The sequence below is a fragment of the Homo sapiens genome, chromosome 14, assembly GCF_000001405.40.
Source record: "Homo sapiens chromosome 14, GRCh38.p14 Primary Assembly".
Taxonomy (NCBI): Eukaryota; Metazoa; Chordata; class Mammalia; order Primates; family Hominidae; genus Homo; species Homo sapiens.
In genome coordinates, this window is record NC_000014.9 from 21,060,094 (window position 1) to 21,072,774 (window position 12,681).

General features: G+C 49.6%; 2 protein-coding genes across 9 annotated transcripts in view, besides 5 other annotated features; one reads left to right on the forward strand and one right to left on the reverse strand.

Moving 5' to 3' along the window:
• The window catches only part of NDRG2 (NDRG family member 2), a 54,110-nt gene extending 43,331 nt beyond the window's left edge, over positions 1–10,779 (reverse strand). Inside the window, exon 1 of the mRNA NM_001282211.2 lies at positions 10,735–10,779. Coding sequence (NP_001269140.1) covers positions 10,735–10,758 — 24 coding nt within the window. The 5' untranslated portion in view covers positions 10,759–10,779. The remainder of the gene's footprint in view (positions 1–10,734) is intronic.
• Positions 1,171–12,681, forward strand: part of ARHGEF40 (Rho guanine nucleotide exchange factor 40) — a 28,985-nt gene continuing 17,474 nt past the window's right edge. For 7 of the 8 annotated variants that reach the window (NM_001278529.2, XM_011536937.4, NM_018071.5 and 4 more), the window contains exon 1: positions 10,211–10,306. Coding sequence is in view for 5 of the 8 variants with exons in the window: in XM_011536937.4 (XP_011535239.1) it covers positions 10,304–10,306 (3 nt within the window). In the remaining 3 variants the exon portion in view is untranslated. Of the gene's footprint in view, positions 1,571–8,760; positions 8,806–10,210; positions 10,307–12,681 lie in introns of those variants that run through there. The other variant, XM_017021434.3, reaches the window with a different exon arrangement.
• Positions 8,509–8,608: a silencer, noted in NCBI's record as "silent region_5577". NCBI's record gives its function as "represses an Ori minimal core promoter by ATAC-STARR-seq in GM12878 lymphoblastoid cells {active_cell/tissue: GM12878}" and the evidence as "EXISTENCE:reporter gene assay evidence [ECO:0000049][PMID:35858748]".
• Positions 10,144–10,363: a silencer, noted in NCBI's record as "silent region_5578". NCBI's record gives its function as "represses an Ori minimal core promoter by ATAC-STARR-seq in GM12878 lymphoblastoid cells {active_cell/tissue: GM12878}" and the evidence as "EXISTENCE:reporter gene assay evidence [ECO:0000049][PMID:35858748]".
• Positions 10,374–10,443: a silencer, noted in NCBI's record as "silent region_5579". NCBI's record gives its function as "represses an Ori minimal core promoter by ATAC-STARR-seq in GM12878 lymphoblastoid cells {active_cell/tissue: GM12878}" and the evidence as "EXISTENCE:reporter gene assay evidence [ECO:0000049][PMID:35858748]".
• Positions 10,935–11,556: an enhancer, noted in NCBI's record as "H3K27ac hESC enhancer chr14:21539187-21539808 (GRCh37/hg19 assembly coordinates)". NCBI's record gives its function as "activates a minimal SCP1, AML or CMV promoter by ChIP-STARR-seq in primed H9 embryonic stem cells {active_cell/tissue: H9 hESC(primed)}" and the evidence as "EXISTENCE:reporter gene assay evidence [ECO:0000049][PMID:30033119]".
• Positions 11,234–11,533: a silencer, noted in NCBI's record as "silent region_5580". NCBI's record gives its function as "represses an Ori minimal core promoter by ATAC-STARR-seq in GM12878 lymphoblastoid cells {active_cell/tissue: GM12878}" and the evidence as "EXISTENCE:reporter gene assay evidence [ECO:0000049][PMID:35858748]".

Here is a 12,681-nt window from a genome sequence, read left to right on the forward strand (position 1 = left end):
TATTACACCTCCCTTCCCATATTTGGAAAGAGAGTTTCCTACACAGGCTATGATTCAGAGTAAGGAAAGGATGTCTGGTGAAACGTGAAGTGGCAGAGAAAGCATAGAATCCAGAAATTCAAAATCCCAGCCCCCTTCTATGCTTTCTAGAACTAGAACTCAATGCAGCCTCTCACACCAACACCATCTCACCCCAAGCGTAGTTTCCCCCACAGCCTCCAGCCCCCTCCACATTGCCCTGCCCATCACTACCACTATGCTGCCCACCCTCGTGCTTATAACCAGGGAAGACATCTGGAAGTGAGACAGAAGCAGCATTCTTCCATCCCCTGGCTTCTTCCCAGTGTTGCGGGCAGGCTCCACTTCCTGCGGCTGCGCCTTAAATGACGGTGTTTCCCAGGGTCCTGTTCTGAGCTCTCTTTTCTTCCCACACTGTACTCTACTTGAGTGACTTGATTTACTTCCATGGCTCCAACCACCATTAACCTACTCCCAAAGACAGGTATATCTCCAGCCCAGAGCTCCCAAAGTCCAGTCATACATGTCCATCTTCATACTGTTACTAGCCCAGTCAGTGTCCCACAGGCATCTCAACCCAAAACACTCAGAACTAAGTTCATAATCTGCCTGGCTTCCAAACCTGCCCCTCCCTTCTCCTGCAGCCTCTCAGTGTTCGTTAGTGGAAACATCATACTCGATCATTCAAAGTCCTAATCTAAGACACACCTGTGTCAACTCGTGCTTGTTTGTCTGTTTCTCCAGTAATTGCCCACCTTATCCCAGGAACTACCTCAAGAGGACATAAAAGTTACTGAGTTTTATTTTCTTTTGTCCAAATAGCACTGGGTTCCTAACGTGTGCTCAATACACATTACGGCCTTGGAGGGGGCCGTGATTTGGAGCTAGGCAAATATACCTAGGTTGGTACAACCGCAGATTCACTACCTTGTTGAGAGGGCGAGATTAAAGAGTACATACGAAACTATCAAGTAATAAGATAGAAAAGAAGAAGAAACCAAATGGATTCTGTAACGTTTTTCTCCCATCTCCCCTAGGGTTTCATTCATCCCAAAGTTCATTCTCTGTTGAATGTTAATTTTCCCGTTGGATATTTCTGGCACAGCATTAGGTCTGTAGCCAGGGTTAGGCAACACCAGGAGAAGTTCAACCATTCAATATCTGTAAGAGTTGTGGCCCCGGAAGCTGGGAAGAGTGTGAAAAGCATTCAGAGTAGAATGAATCGTTAAGGAGACTAATTATATCCAAACAAGTGGGGGTAGCAACCTGGGTAGGAGTTTCTGACTTCCTTGTGTAGGCTGAAGAATTAGATGGCGTGTAACTGGAATCTAGGGGTCATGGGCTGTAAAACTGGCCCACTCTGAGGGTAATGACACAGCACCCATAAAACAGGGCTCAGTGGTGAAGCTGGGACCACAGAAGAGCTGCCCAATAGCCTTGGGACCGAATCTCTACTGGGTGTGTTCTCTGGGCCCCTGAGAACGTGTTTCCAAAAAATCACTTGAGAAGGGGCTCCTCAGCCATTTGGGAGGACATAAATATTTTCCAGTGGGTAAGTATGTTCTAACATCCAGAAAATTTAGAATTAAGTATAGAAATGTTTAAAAGAATCAACACATAGCGTTAACATGTTTGTATTAAGGAATTTGTATTAGGCTTGTCATTCTAATTTAAAATGCACATGGTTTGAAATGAAACTTTCCTTTAAAATTAGTTTTGGATCATGTAAGAAAACATAGAAATTGAATCATCCTATTTAGAAATTGTTAGATTTATAAAGGTTTTTAAGTATTCAGGAATGTTTTGCTGGTTAGCTCAAATGCCCAAATTACTTTATAAGGACATGGAATATATATTGAATTTATAAAATATCTCTTTTAATGTTTAAAGAGTTTCATTAACTACTTACAAATAAGATCAAATAGTCGGTGAATACAATTCTTTAAAGTGATTATTAGAATTTATTTCTATGTAAGTTAAACATAAAAGCTTAAGGAAGCTGATTTATAACTTTAACATAGGAAACATAAGTGTTAAAAAGCCAAGTAGCCTCTAAATACTCTTTGTTGGACACAAAAGAAACATTTTAAAAACTCACATTGACACTACAAGACCGATTCATGTTCTATGATATTTTCATCTGTACTGCACAGTGGGCTTTGGTGATTATATTTTCCGGTGTTAATATGTTTGTTGATTTTGCTGGGGCGTTTAGTAGGGAGGGAAGCTCAAGGCTCAGGCTCAAGGGCATGCGACTGGCAGTGGAGCCCTCAGAGTGGAACCTGGACCTCTGTCTCTCCTCAGCATTCTCCTCCCTCTGCACTGTGCTGCCTTCAGTTGGGTTATTTTTCTGACTTGGGAATGGGAGTATTATATCCTAGAAAAACTGAGAAAGGTGAGCAGGGTTTGCCTGAGGCCCGTGTAGGGGTGGCAGAGGATTTCAGCAAAATATACTCCCAGAAAAAGTAAAACTCAAAGGCTGTGGTCAGGTCTCCACCCTTTATAGGGACTTTTCCTCCTTGGCCAAACTTGGAGTTTGAGACTACTTTTACTAAGTAGAGTAGCTTTTAAAATGTAAACAAAACAGGCTGGGCACAGTGTGTGTGTGTGTGTGTGTGTGTGTGTGTGTGTGTGTTTTGTTATTTGAGATGGAGCCTCACTCTGTTGTCCAGGCTGGAGTAGTGCAGTGGTGCGATCTCAGCTCACTGCAACCTCCACCTCCCAGGTTCCAGTGGCTCATGCCTATAATTCCAACACTTTGGGAGGCTGAGGCAGGAGGATCAATAGAGCCCGGGTGTTCAAGACCAGCCTGGGCAGTATAGTGAGACCTTGTCTCTAAAAAAAAAAAAAAAAAAATTGTTTTAATTAGCCAGGTGTAGGGGTGCACACCTGCCTGTAGTTCCAGCTACTGGGGATGCTGAAGTGGGAGGATTGCTTGAGCCCAGGAGGTGGTGGTTGCAGTCAGCTGAGATTTCACCACTGTACTCCAGGCTGGGCAACGGAGCGAGACCCTGTCTCAAAAAGGAAACAAAAGCAAAAACAAAAAACGGATTTTAAGCAACCAGTTTCTTCAGTAAATTAGAGTGCCTGCCTAAAAGTGGTGTGTATGTGTGTGTGTGTATGTGTGTGTGTGTATATAAACACACACGTGTTCAGGGTGAGGAAGTAAAGTTCTGTTAATGGAATTAGGAGTGCTATATTCCGCCAATTACAGATCTTTTGGGATTCCAAACTCCTCATCTGAAGTGCAAATATCTATTGGCACAAATAAGATAATGTAACAATTACTTGGAATCAATCACTTAGGTGTTGGATTTGGCTTGGGGTTATTTGGAGGCAAGGCAAGGATATAGGTTTTGTAATTGGGGGGTCTTATGCGTATGTTCAACATGGGCAGAGACCTGGAGGTAGACACTAAGTACAAAAAAAAAGGAAATGTCAAGGAACTAGAGACAAAGTTTTATCCGCTGCTTGGCAGTTCTGAAGTCTGGAGGATGGGAATGACTTCACGCTGTTGGAATTCCTAGATTGTCTGCTCCAGAAGACTGACTCTGCTGGGGGTCTGCCAATGAGAGCTGAGGCCACTGCTAGCTATAACAGGCACAGGTTATGTCTTAATAAATGTTCATTTAACAAAATGTGGTTTTGGAGCAAAGGGCTGGGGGTAGGAAAATGTACAGATCACAAATCTGGAAAGCTTATAAACAATTTCTTTAAAAGCTCTCTCATTATGCTTAAAATTTTTCAGTGAGAGGGAATTTACCTATGGAGATAGCTTGTCCCATTTTCAGGCAACTCTAAGTATTCAAAACTCCCTTACATAGAACCGAATCTGCTTCTTTATAACTGCAACAATTCACTGATGCCCTACCGCTTTGAGCCATTCAGAGTAAGCCCAATTCCTCTTCACAATCAACCTTTTTAATATTTTAAGAGTGTTTCATGACCCCTGCCCTCCACATATTGCCACATCTGGCAGTAACAAATGTTATAAAATGGCTCCTACCATTTGACCCAATAATTCCATTTTGTAAAATATGTCGAATGGGAATAATTCAAAGTGCGGAGGAGTACATTTCTACAAATCTTTTTATACCTTTTCTTCATACAATGGAGAAAAGTTAAACATAATATAAATTCCCTAAAATTGAGAGTGACTAAATGAATAGTGAACAACCACTTGATGCCTTTTTTTTTTTATTATTTTTGAGACAGAGTCTCTCTCTGTTGCCCAGGCTGCAGTGTAGTGGCGTGATCTTGGCTCACTGCAACCTCTGCCCCTTGGGTTCAAGCGATTCTCCTGTCTCAGCCTCCCAAGTAGCTGGGATTACAGGTGCACACTGCCACACCCAGCTAATTTTTGTATTTTTAGTAGAGACTGGGTTTCGCCATGTTGGCCAGGCTCGTCTTGAACTCCTGACCTCAGGTGACCCGCCCACCTCGGCCTCCCAAAGTCCTGGGATTACAGGTGTGAGCCACCGCACCCAGCCTACTTGATGCTTTAACTAAAGACAATGTAGGCAAAAATTATACTTATGCGTGGAAATATATACGGACAATGCTACATGAAGAAAGCAGAACACAAAACTGTTATTTTCAAATGGGTTACAACTACATGAAAGAGTTTCTGGGTTTGTACATCAACAAAGTCCATAAGCGACTTTGGAACCTTTCCAGAAGTCCCCCTCCAAACCATGCTTCCTCCAGACTCTTCTACTACAATAAGCCTACATCTGAGCCAGATGATGGTCCACATCTGTCTTAAATTCTGTCCCGTGGCCGGGCATGGTGGCTCATGCCTGTAATCCCAGCACTTTGGGAGGCAGAGGCAGGCAGATCACCTGAGATCAGGAGTTCGAGACCAGCCTGAGCAACATGCTGAAACCACATTTCTACTAAAAATACAAAAATTAGCCAGGCCTGGTGGCGGGTGCCTGTAATCCCAGCTACTTGGGAGGCTGAGGCAGGAGAATTGCTTGAACCCAGGAGGCAGAGGTTGCAGTGAGTCGAGATTGTACCACTGCACTCCAGCCTGGGCGATGAGCAAAACTCCATCTCAAAAAAAAAAAAACAAACAACAACAACAAAAAAATTCTGTCCTGCATGCCTTCCACTTGCAAATATCCTCCAACAGACAAACAAACAAACAAAAAAAACCTCATGAGGACTGATTCCAGGAAGACAGGAAAGCAGCTGACCCCAAGCCTCTGCCTTGCCATTCCCACCTCTCACTTGTTCCCAAAACCATTCCTGTTCTCTGGAGCTTTCTGCCCTCCTTTCAGTCTTCACTTGGATTTATGATCTCTTTTGGGAACTGGTCAGACACTAGCTGAAAAAGCAGTGACAAAATAGACAAGGTCCCTCATTTCATAAAGTTTATTTTTAAATTATATGTGGTAGAAAGGTGAGTCTATTATGATAGACAGAAAATAAATACATAATCAATAGAGAAAAATGCTATGAAGAAAATACAACAGAATAACATTATTCAGAAAGACAATGGGTGAGAGACCACTTTAGACCAGGTGGCCAGGGAAGAAGACCTTTGAGACTGTAACACTTTAGTTAAGACCTGAAGGATGACAGCCAGTCACTAGAATCGTGAATGAAAAGAAAGCTCCAGACAGAAGGAAAGAAGAGCAAAAAGGTGCCAAATTAAGCATCTTTAGGAATAAGTAAGGCATGTTTAAAGAACTGAAAGAAGGGGCCGAATGCAGTGGCTCATGCCTGTAATTCCAACACTTAGGGAGGCCAAGGTGGGCGGATCACCTGAGGTCAGGAGTTTGAGACCAGCCTGGCCAACATGGTGAAACCCTGTCTTTACTAAAAATACAAAAATTAGCTGGGTGTGGTGGTGCAAGCCTGTAAACCCAACTACTTGGGAAGCTGAGGCACCAGAATCACTTGCACCTGGGAGGTACAGGTTGCAGTGAGTCCAGATTGCAACACTGCACTCCAGCCTGGGCGACAGAGCAAGACTTTTTTTCAACAATAACAACAACAACAACAAAAACCTGAAAAGCTGAAAGAAGTCCACTGTGGCTGCAGGGTCACTAGTGGCTTAGCATAATGTCACCACAGGGCTATGGTAAAAGATGAGGCAGAAAAGAAAAGGAGAGATAGGCAGAAAAGGAATCATGATGCAAATGGAAAGCCATTAGACGGGGTTGATGAGATTTATTTGGATCTTTTTTTTTTGGTTGTGTTTTTTTTGTTTTTTTTTTTTGGAGACGGAGTCTCACTTTGTCGCCAGGCTGGAGTGCAGTGGCACGATCTCGGCTCACTGCAACCTCCGCCTCCCAGGTTCAAGCGATTCTCCTGCCTCAGCCTCCCAAGTAGCTGGGATTACAGGCATGTGCCACCACGCCCAGCTAATTTTTGTATTTTTAGTAGAGACAGGGTTTCACCATGTTGGGGTTTCCCCATGTTGGCCAGGATGGTGTTGCTCTCTTGACCACGTGATCCACCTGCCTCGGTCTCCCAAAGTGCTGGGATTACAGGCATGAGCCACCGTGCCCAGCCTGATTTATTTGGATTTTTAAGATTACTCTGGCTATGGTGCAGAGAATGGCTTATCAGAAGGTAAGAGTGGAACAGGCAGACAAGTGGGGAAACTAATGTGCTAGCACAGGCAAGATGCTGGTGGTATGGACCTTGATGACACTTAGTTCGGAGAAGACAAGTTGTTAATTTTTGAAAAAATATTACCAATCAAATAAAACCAAAACCAATGAAAAATTAAACCATAAATAGAACTGATATATATTTACATATCACACAGATTTTTTACCCTAAAATAACTGGGATATTGATCCCCAGATTCCTTGGAAGGCAGAGCTAACAAGAACACGTGCTCTCAAGTCCGTCCCTAAAATTCCCTTTGTGGTCCTTCATTAATTCCCCCTAACTTGAGGCATGGGGCTGAGGCACAGCCCTAGTCACTGCTACTCTCCCAGGGAGAAATAGTGAGCAGCCTAAAACCCCAACCCTCCATAAGATGGCAGTCATAGCTCTTGGTGCACATAAACCAGGCAATAAGCAGTACAGACACAGGTGTTTCTTCCACCTTCCCCCGTATTAGGATAGCACTAGTTTTCCATAAGAACCATACTGGAAATGTCTTCGGAATTATTTTAACTATTAGTCTATAACAAGTCTAGAAAAAGGTAGGTTTTTTTTTTCTCTGACCCACGGGGACATATCTATCACTTTTAGAACCTCAGTGCTGGCTTCTACAAAAACAAATTTAACTTTTTTAGCCTGATGGTTTGGTGGCAGAAATGGTGATGTGGTGTTTAAAACTCTTCTTTTATGAACTTTGACAGCTTAGATGAGACCCTATAACTTACTGGTTGCGACTGAAGCCTCTGGCGTCAGACAGCCTGGGTTCACATCCTGGTTGCTCATTTACTGTGTAGCTTAGAGAGAGTTTATTAACTTCAATAAGCTGCAATTTCTTCTGTAAAACAGGAGTTTGAGAAGCCCCAAAGAGTCTTAAATGGGTGAAATATGGTAAGAACTGTTTGTGAATGAGAAGGCTTCTAAGTCTGGTCTATTCCCAGCCTCTAATTTCTCCCTTATAACTTTACCCTTTCATATTCCCCCACTAAAAACACACGTATCAACACATACTCTGTTGTGTACACACGTACACACACACACACACACACACACTTTTAGGTAAGAGCCTGCATTCTTTGGAGAAAGTGGTATTTAACTGCTGCAACCACATGTCACTTACTTACTTAAAATAAACCATTGTAATTTAGCACAGATTTTAAAACTCCTGGAAAGAAGGGGTAACTGCATCCCTGATTCTCTATCCAAACTCCCTTACCCCACCAGCTCAAAAACTTTCAGTGGCTCCCCTTTTTTTTTTTTTTTTTTTTTTTTTTTTTTTTTTTTTGAGACGGAGTCTCGCTCTGTCGCCCAGGCTGGAGTGCAGTGGCGCGATCTCGGCTCACTGCAAGCTCCGCCTCCCGGGTTCACGCCATTCTCCTGCCTCAGCCTCCCGAGTAGCTGGGACTACAGGCGCCCGCTACCACGCCCGGCTAATTTTTTGTATTTTTAGTAGAGACGGGGTTTCACCGTGTTAGCCAGGATGGTCTCGATCTCCTGACCTCGTGATCCGCCCGCCTCGGCCTCCCAAAGTGCTGGGATTACAGGCGTGAGCCACCGCGCCCGGCCGGCTCCCCTTTTTCTCCATGAAAAAAAAAAATGATCCACTCCCTTTTTCCAGGAGTTTGTGGACCCCCATAGCCAGATTAATTTATATTCCACTACCTAAGAGTAGTGAGCCTTGGAGTCCAATGGACAACCTTGGACCCTACCAAGTGTTCCCTAAACAATTTGCTGCAGTTTAAGGAATGGAAGGCCTGGTGAGGAAAGGTTCAGACACTCTCAACACCGAGAATAGATGAGCTAGGTTTGAGACAGGTGAATAAGGTTTTTTAAACACTGGCCCCTGTAACCCGCCCCTGGGCAGTATTTACGGAATGGACACCAGGGGGTAGCAAAATCTCACTCTCCTAGCTCGCGGGCCCTCGTAATAGAGAACCTGGAGAGTGTCGGTGACTCGAGGGTCCCCTAGCCGGGTGTTAGAAAGAGCTCCAACTCCACGGCTCTAACTGTGCGGGGAAGATGGTTACCGGGGCTTGTTGCCATAGGTTCTTTTTTGACGCATGGAGCAGAGGCCTCTTCTTGCCTCTAAGAAGGATGAACACTTGCTCTGTCCTTTTCCAGGCTCAGCGGAGCGGAGAAAAAGGTGGAGGTTAGCGTCCAGAGGAGGTGAGAGAAGAGCAAGTCACCTTGGCGGCACCCCCGCCTCCCCTCCCGCTGTTCCAACAACTGCCCAGAGGCTCCGGCCTCCGAGGAACTGCAGGCGAGGCCAGACGTTTTCTCATCATCGCCCTCCAGCTGCAGGGGCACACGCGTTCACGCCCCTCCGGGGACTATTCGGCTTTCCGATCTCCTCTCCTCTCCCTTCCGTCCACCCTTTAGAAGAGCTCACGGAGCTGCGGGGCTTCCCGGTGCCTGCTCAGAGGCCAGGCAGGGCATCTCCCCGCCGTGCCCGTGCCTCCCCCCGGGCTCCTGGGAGACCCCCCATCTGGCCTTCCTTTCTCATTCAGACACTGTCGGGGGACGCTCGGGGTTTGATGAGGGAGTGAGGCTAGAACTTTCGTAACTAGCCCACCCTGCTTTGTCTCCTGCGCCAGATACCCACCCATTCCCATGGCCACGAGCCCTAGCGGCCCTGCGGGACTCTATAGCCACCCCAACAGAAGGAAGGGGCTGGCATCCAGTACCGAATCCTCGAACTGGAGGCCTGGTGCCTTCCCTCTTCTAGCCGAATAGAGAGGTAGGGATGCGGAAGGGAAGGGCCACGGAGGAGAGAACTCAGAAAATGTCCGGCGAAATGCACGCCCCTACATAAGCATCCCGATCCGGGAACCCTGCCCCCTTGGCCAGGATGTCCGCCCCCTATCCCAAGCCTTCGCTGCTCCCTAACTCCCGCACACTCCCGCCTTCCCCAGGCAACACAGAGGAGCCCATTGTCAGCCCAGAGATTCCAGGCCCGAGGAGATGGAGGGAAAGGAGGGCGGGCAAGCCCCCGGGGGGTTGGGGAATCCCCTGATTTCCCGGCCCTCCGCTCTCTGCTAGGCAGGCAGGGGCCTGAAGGTCTCATTTGAGCCCTGGGTCCTGCCAAAGTCTAGAAACCGTTGAGAGAAGAGGATCCCGGGCGAGTTAGAGCGGGGAGGCTTTCCAGCCGCAGGAAGACCCCAGTTCTGGGAAGGGGCGGCCCAAGGGAATTCACGCACGCCCCAGCCTTTGGAGCATCCCTTGCCGAGGCTAAACTGATCCCGCGGGGAGCGAGGCCGTGGCGGGAAAAGAGGGGCATCCTCGGCTGGGCGGGCCTCCGAGGGTCAGGGTCGAGGTTACCCGCTGGAGGGCGGGGCGGAGAAGAAAGAAGGTTGCCGGTGAACGGGACGGATAGGCTGGGGACGCCCGGGGAACGGCAGAGATCTCGGCGCGGGAGACAGAGTCCCGGCAAGGGGTCCCGCGCGGAGGCGGGGGCGGGCGCTGAAGGGCGGGGCGGGGAGGGGCGGCCGTCTCGGCCCTCCCTGGCGGGGCCCCGCGGCCTGGAAGCCGGAGCGGGCCGAGCCGCCACCGCGGCCGGAGCTGTCCCTTAGCCAGACCCGGCGAGACACGAGCGGCGGGAGGGAGGCGGTGGCGCGCCCGGCCCCGCCCGCCCGACCAAGCGTCGGACGCGGCCCGGCGCCGAGCCATGGTGAGTCCAGCGTCGCAGCCCCCTGGGTCCCCTCGGCCTTCGCGCAGCCCGCTCCGGGCCCCCAAGTCCTCAGCCTGGTGCCTCCCGAGCCTGCCTCGGACTGTTCGGCCCCTCTGGGACTCTCCTCCCTCCCATCCCCCCTTCTTCGATTTGTCTGTCTGCCCGACTGTTTAGCTCTGTCCCCACCGGGTATTGCCCTCACCCTTTCTTCCTCCTCTCCTCCGCCTCCTCCCCCATCCTCCCTTGGGTCTCTCCCCTAATCCACACACCTCCCCGCTCCCCGCCCTCCTCTGTCCTGACCTGTGCCTTCCTTTCCTGGAGCTTCCCTCCCCCTCCTGGTCCGAGCTCCTTACCCGCGGGAGACCCCTGCGGGTTGGTCCTGCAGCGACCCTGGAAGAGGCCCGGCCCCTCGGGTCATGAGAACTGACCTGCATGGAACCACCATTTTCCATCCCTGTCCCCAACCCGGTGAGGCAGGCCCACCCATCCGGCCCTAGGGGACTGGCCACAGCTGTGGCTGGGCCGGGTCCCGGGGCATGGCCAAAGAGGGAAATTCCCGCAGAGAAAAAGAGCTGCCTCAGGATAGTTGGGGGTGCTTGGGGGGGAGCTCACAGTACCAGGGGGCGTGACACTGCCAGAGCCGACCAGAGTTTGCGGAGGAGGAAAGTGCCCCAGAGCTCTTGCTGCAGGGAACTGAAGGGCTGCCTCAGGGCACTCCTGCTACAGAGGGGAGGGAACACGAGCCGGAGCTCCCTGCAGGGACTAGGGGACCCTGGCAGCAGCAACTTGGGGCGCTGGACGCTGGAGGGTACGCTAAGGAGAAGCCCACACCAACAGGAGTGAACACTGCCCTGGGAACTTTCACTGCAGAGTACTCTGAAGCACCGCTGCGAGAGTGGGCACTGCCAGAGAGAGCGCCCACTGCAAAGAGGGCGGGGGCATGGCCAAGGGGCCGCTCGCTGCAGAGTGGAGGAGGGGGAGAGGCCTTGCCAGGGGGAGCTCACCGCAGGGAGTGGAGGAGGGGCAGGGGCACTACTGGGGCCGCCCCTCTACGGAGGGAAGGGCACCCTCTGGCAGGGAGGCTGGAGGAAAAAGAAAGAGGAACTGGGCCAGGGAGAGCTGACTCAGTCTCTCTGGTCTCCTCTCTGGTCCCCGCCGGCAGGAGGCTGGGTCTCCGTGCTCCCGCCCGCCGCCTCCCTCCCCAGACCCCTCCTCCCCTCCTGCCGCGGCCGTTTCCTGTGGCTGAGACTCTCGCTCAGCCATGAGCTCACCGCCCCTAATGGGTTGCAGCTGCCTCGCTGCTCAAGCCCTAGCTCCGCACTCCCTGCCTTGGAGCAGACGGCCCCACTCTGCCTCACCCCCGCCCATCTCCACCTTCCCCCCACCCACGCGCACTGCGTCCGCCTGGTCCCGGGAACACTGGGGGTCTGTCTGCTCGCCCACACACCTTGGGGCCGGGTCTGCGCGCTGACGCACTGAATGTCCCGTCTCTGGAGTGGTTGCCCTAACTTCCCAGACGGTCAAGACAAACGGGCAACTCTGGATGGAGCTCAGAGAAAAATAAGCTATTTTGTTTTATGGCAAAGGCAAGGTATGGGGGTAGGGAAGGTAGAGACCAAGGTAAAGGCTGCATTGAGTATCCCCTTCCCCATTTACAGCAAAAAAGAAAAAAAAATTCCAGTAAAAGGGACTTCAAAGACTGTCTTGAAAAAGAAGTTTGCAAAGGAATAGCCCAAGGGGTGGTTGTTTAGGTTAGGAGTTGGAGAAAGACGTCTCATTGACTCACTTAGGGAGGGGAGTCTGGATGAAGCAGGGCTGAGTCTTTTTGAGACTCCTAGTGGAGGTTGGCAGAGAGAGGTCCCACTGGAATCAGAAAAGATCAGCTCGAATGCGCACCATCAAGGCCTCCTCCTCCCTTCCCACAAGTTCCTCTTGTGACTTTTTTCTCTTTCAACTGCCCCCACCCGATTCTTTGTAATCCAATCCCACATGCTCTAAGATTGGGTGATTGCTTCAGAGCCACTGTGGGAGAAGGAAGAGGGATGCTAGAAAGACCCAAGACAGTCACAGACAGTCTTTCCATCCTCCTCTTTCCACCAAATGACCATCTCTAGCATATAAATGAGCATCTCTCTTTCACCAAATGATCATCTCTGGGACATAATTGTGGGTGATGGCACCTCCACCTAAGATGGGGAGCCCTGGATGGTGGGTCTTATGGGAAGGGATTTGCAGGATGGCTGTGTGGAAATCTCCCTCATCCCCTCGAGTTCTCAGCCATAAGCTCAGTCCCCTGATAGCCCAGAAGCCTGTCTTTTCTCTCCTGGGAAAGATCTATGCAATCACCCCAACTCACGAGCACCCGGAACAGCCCT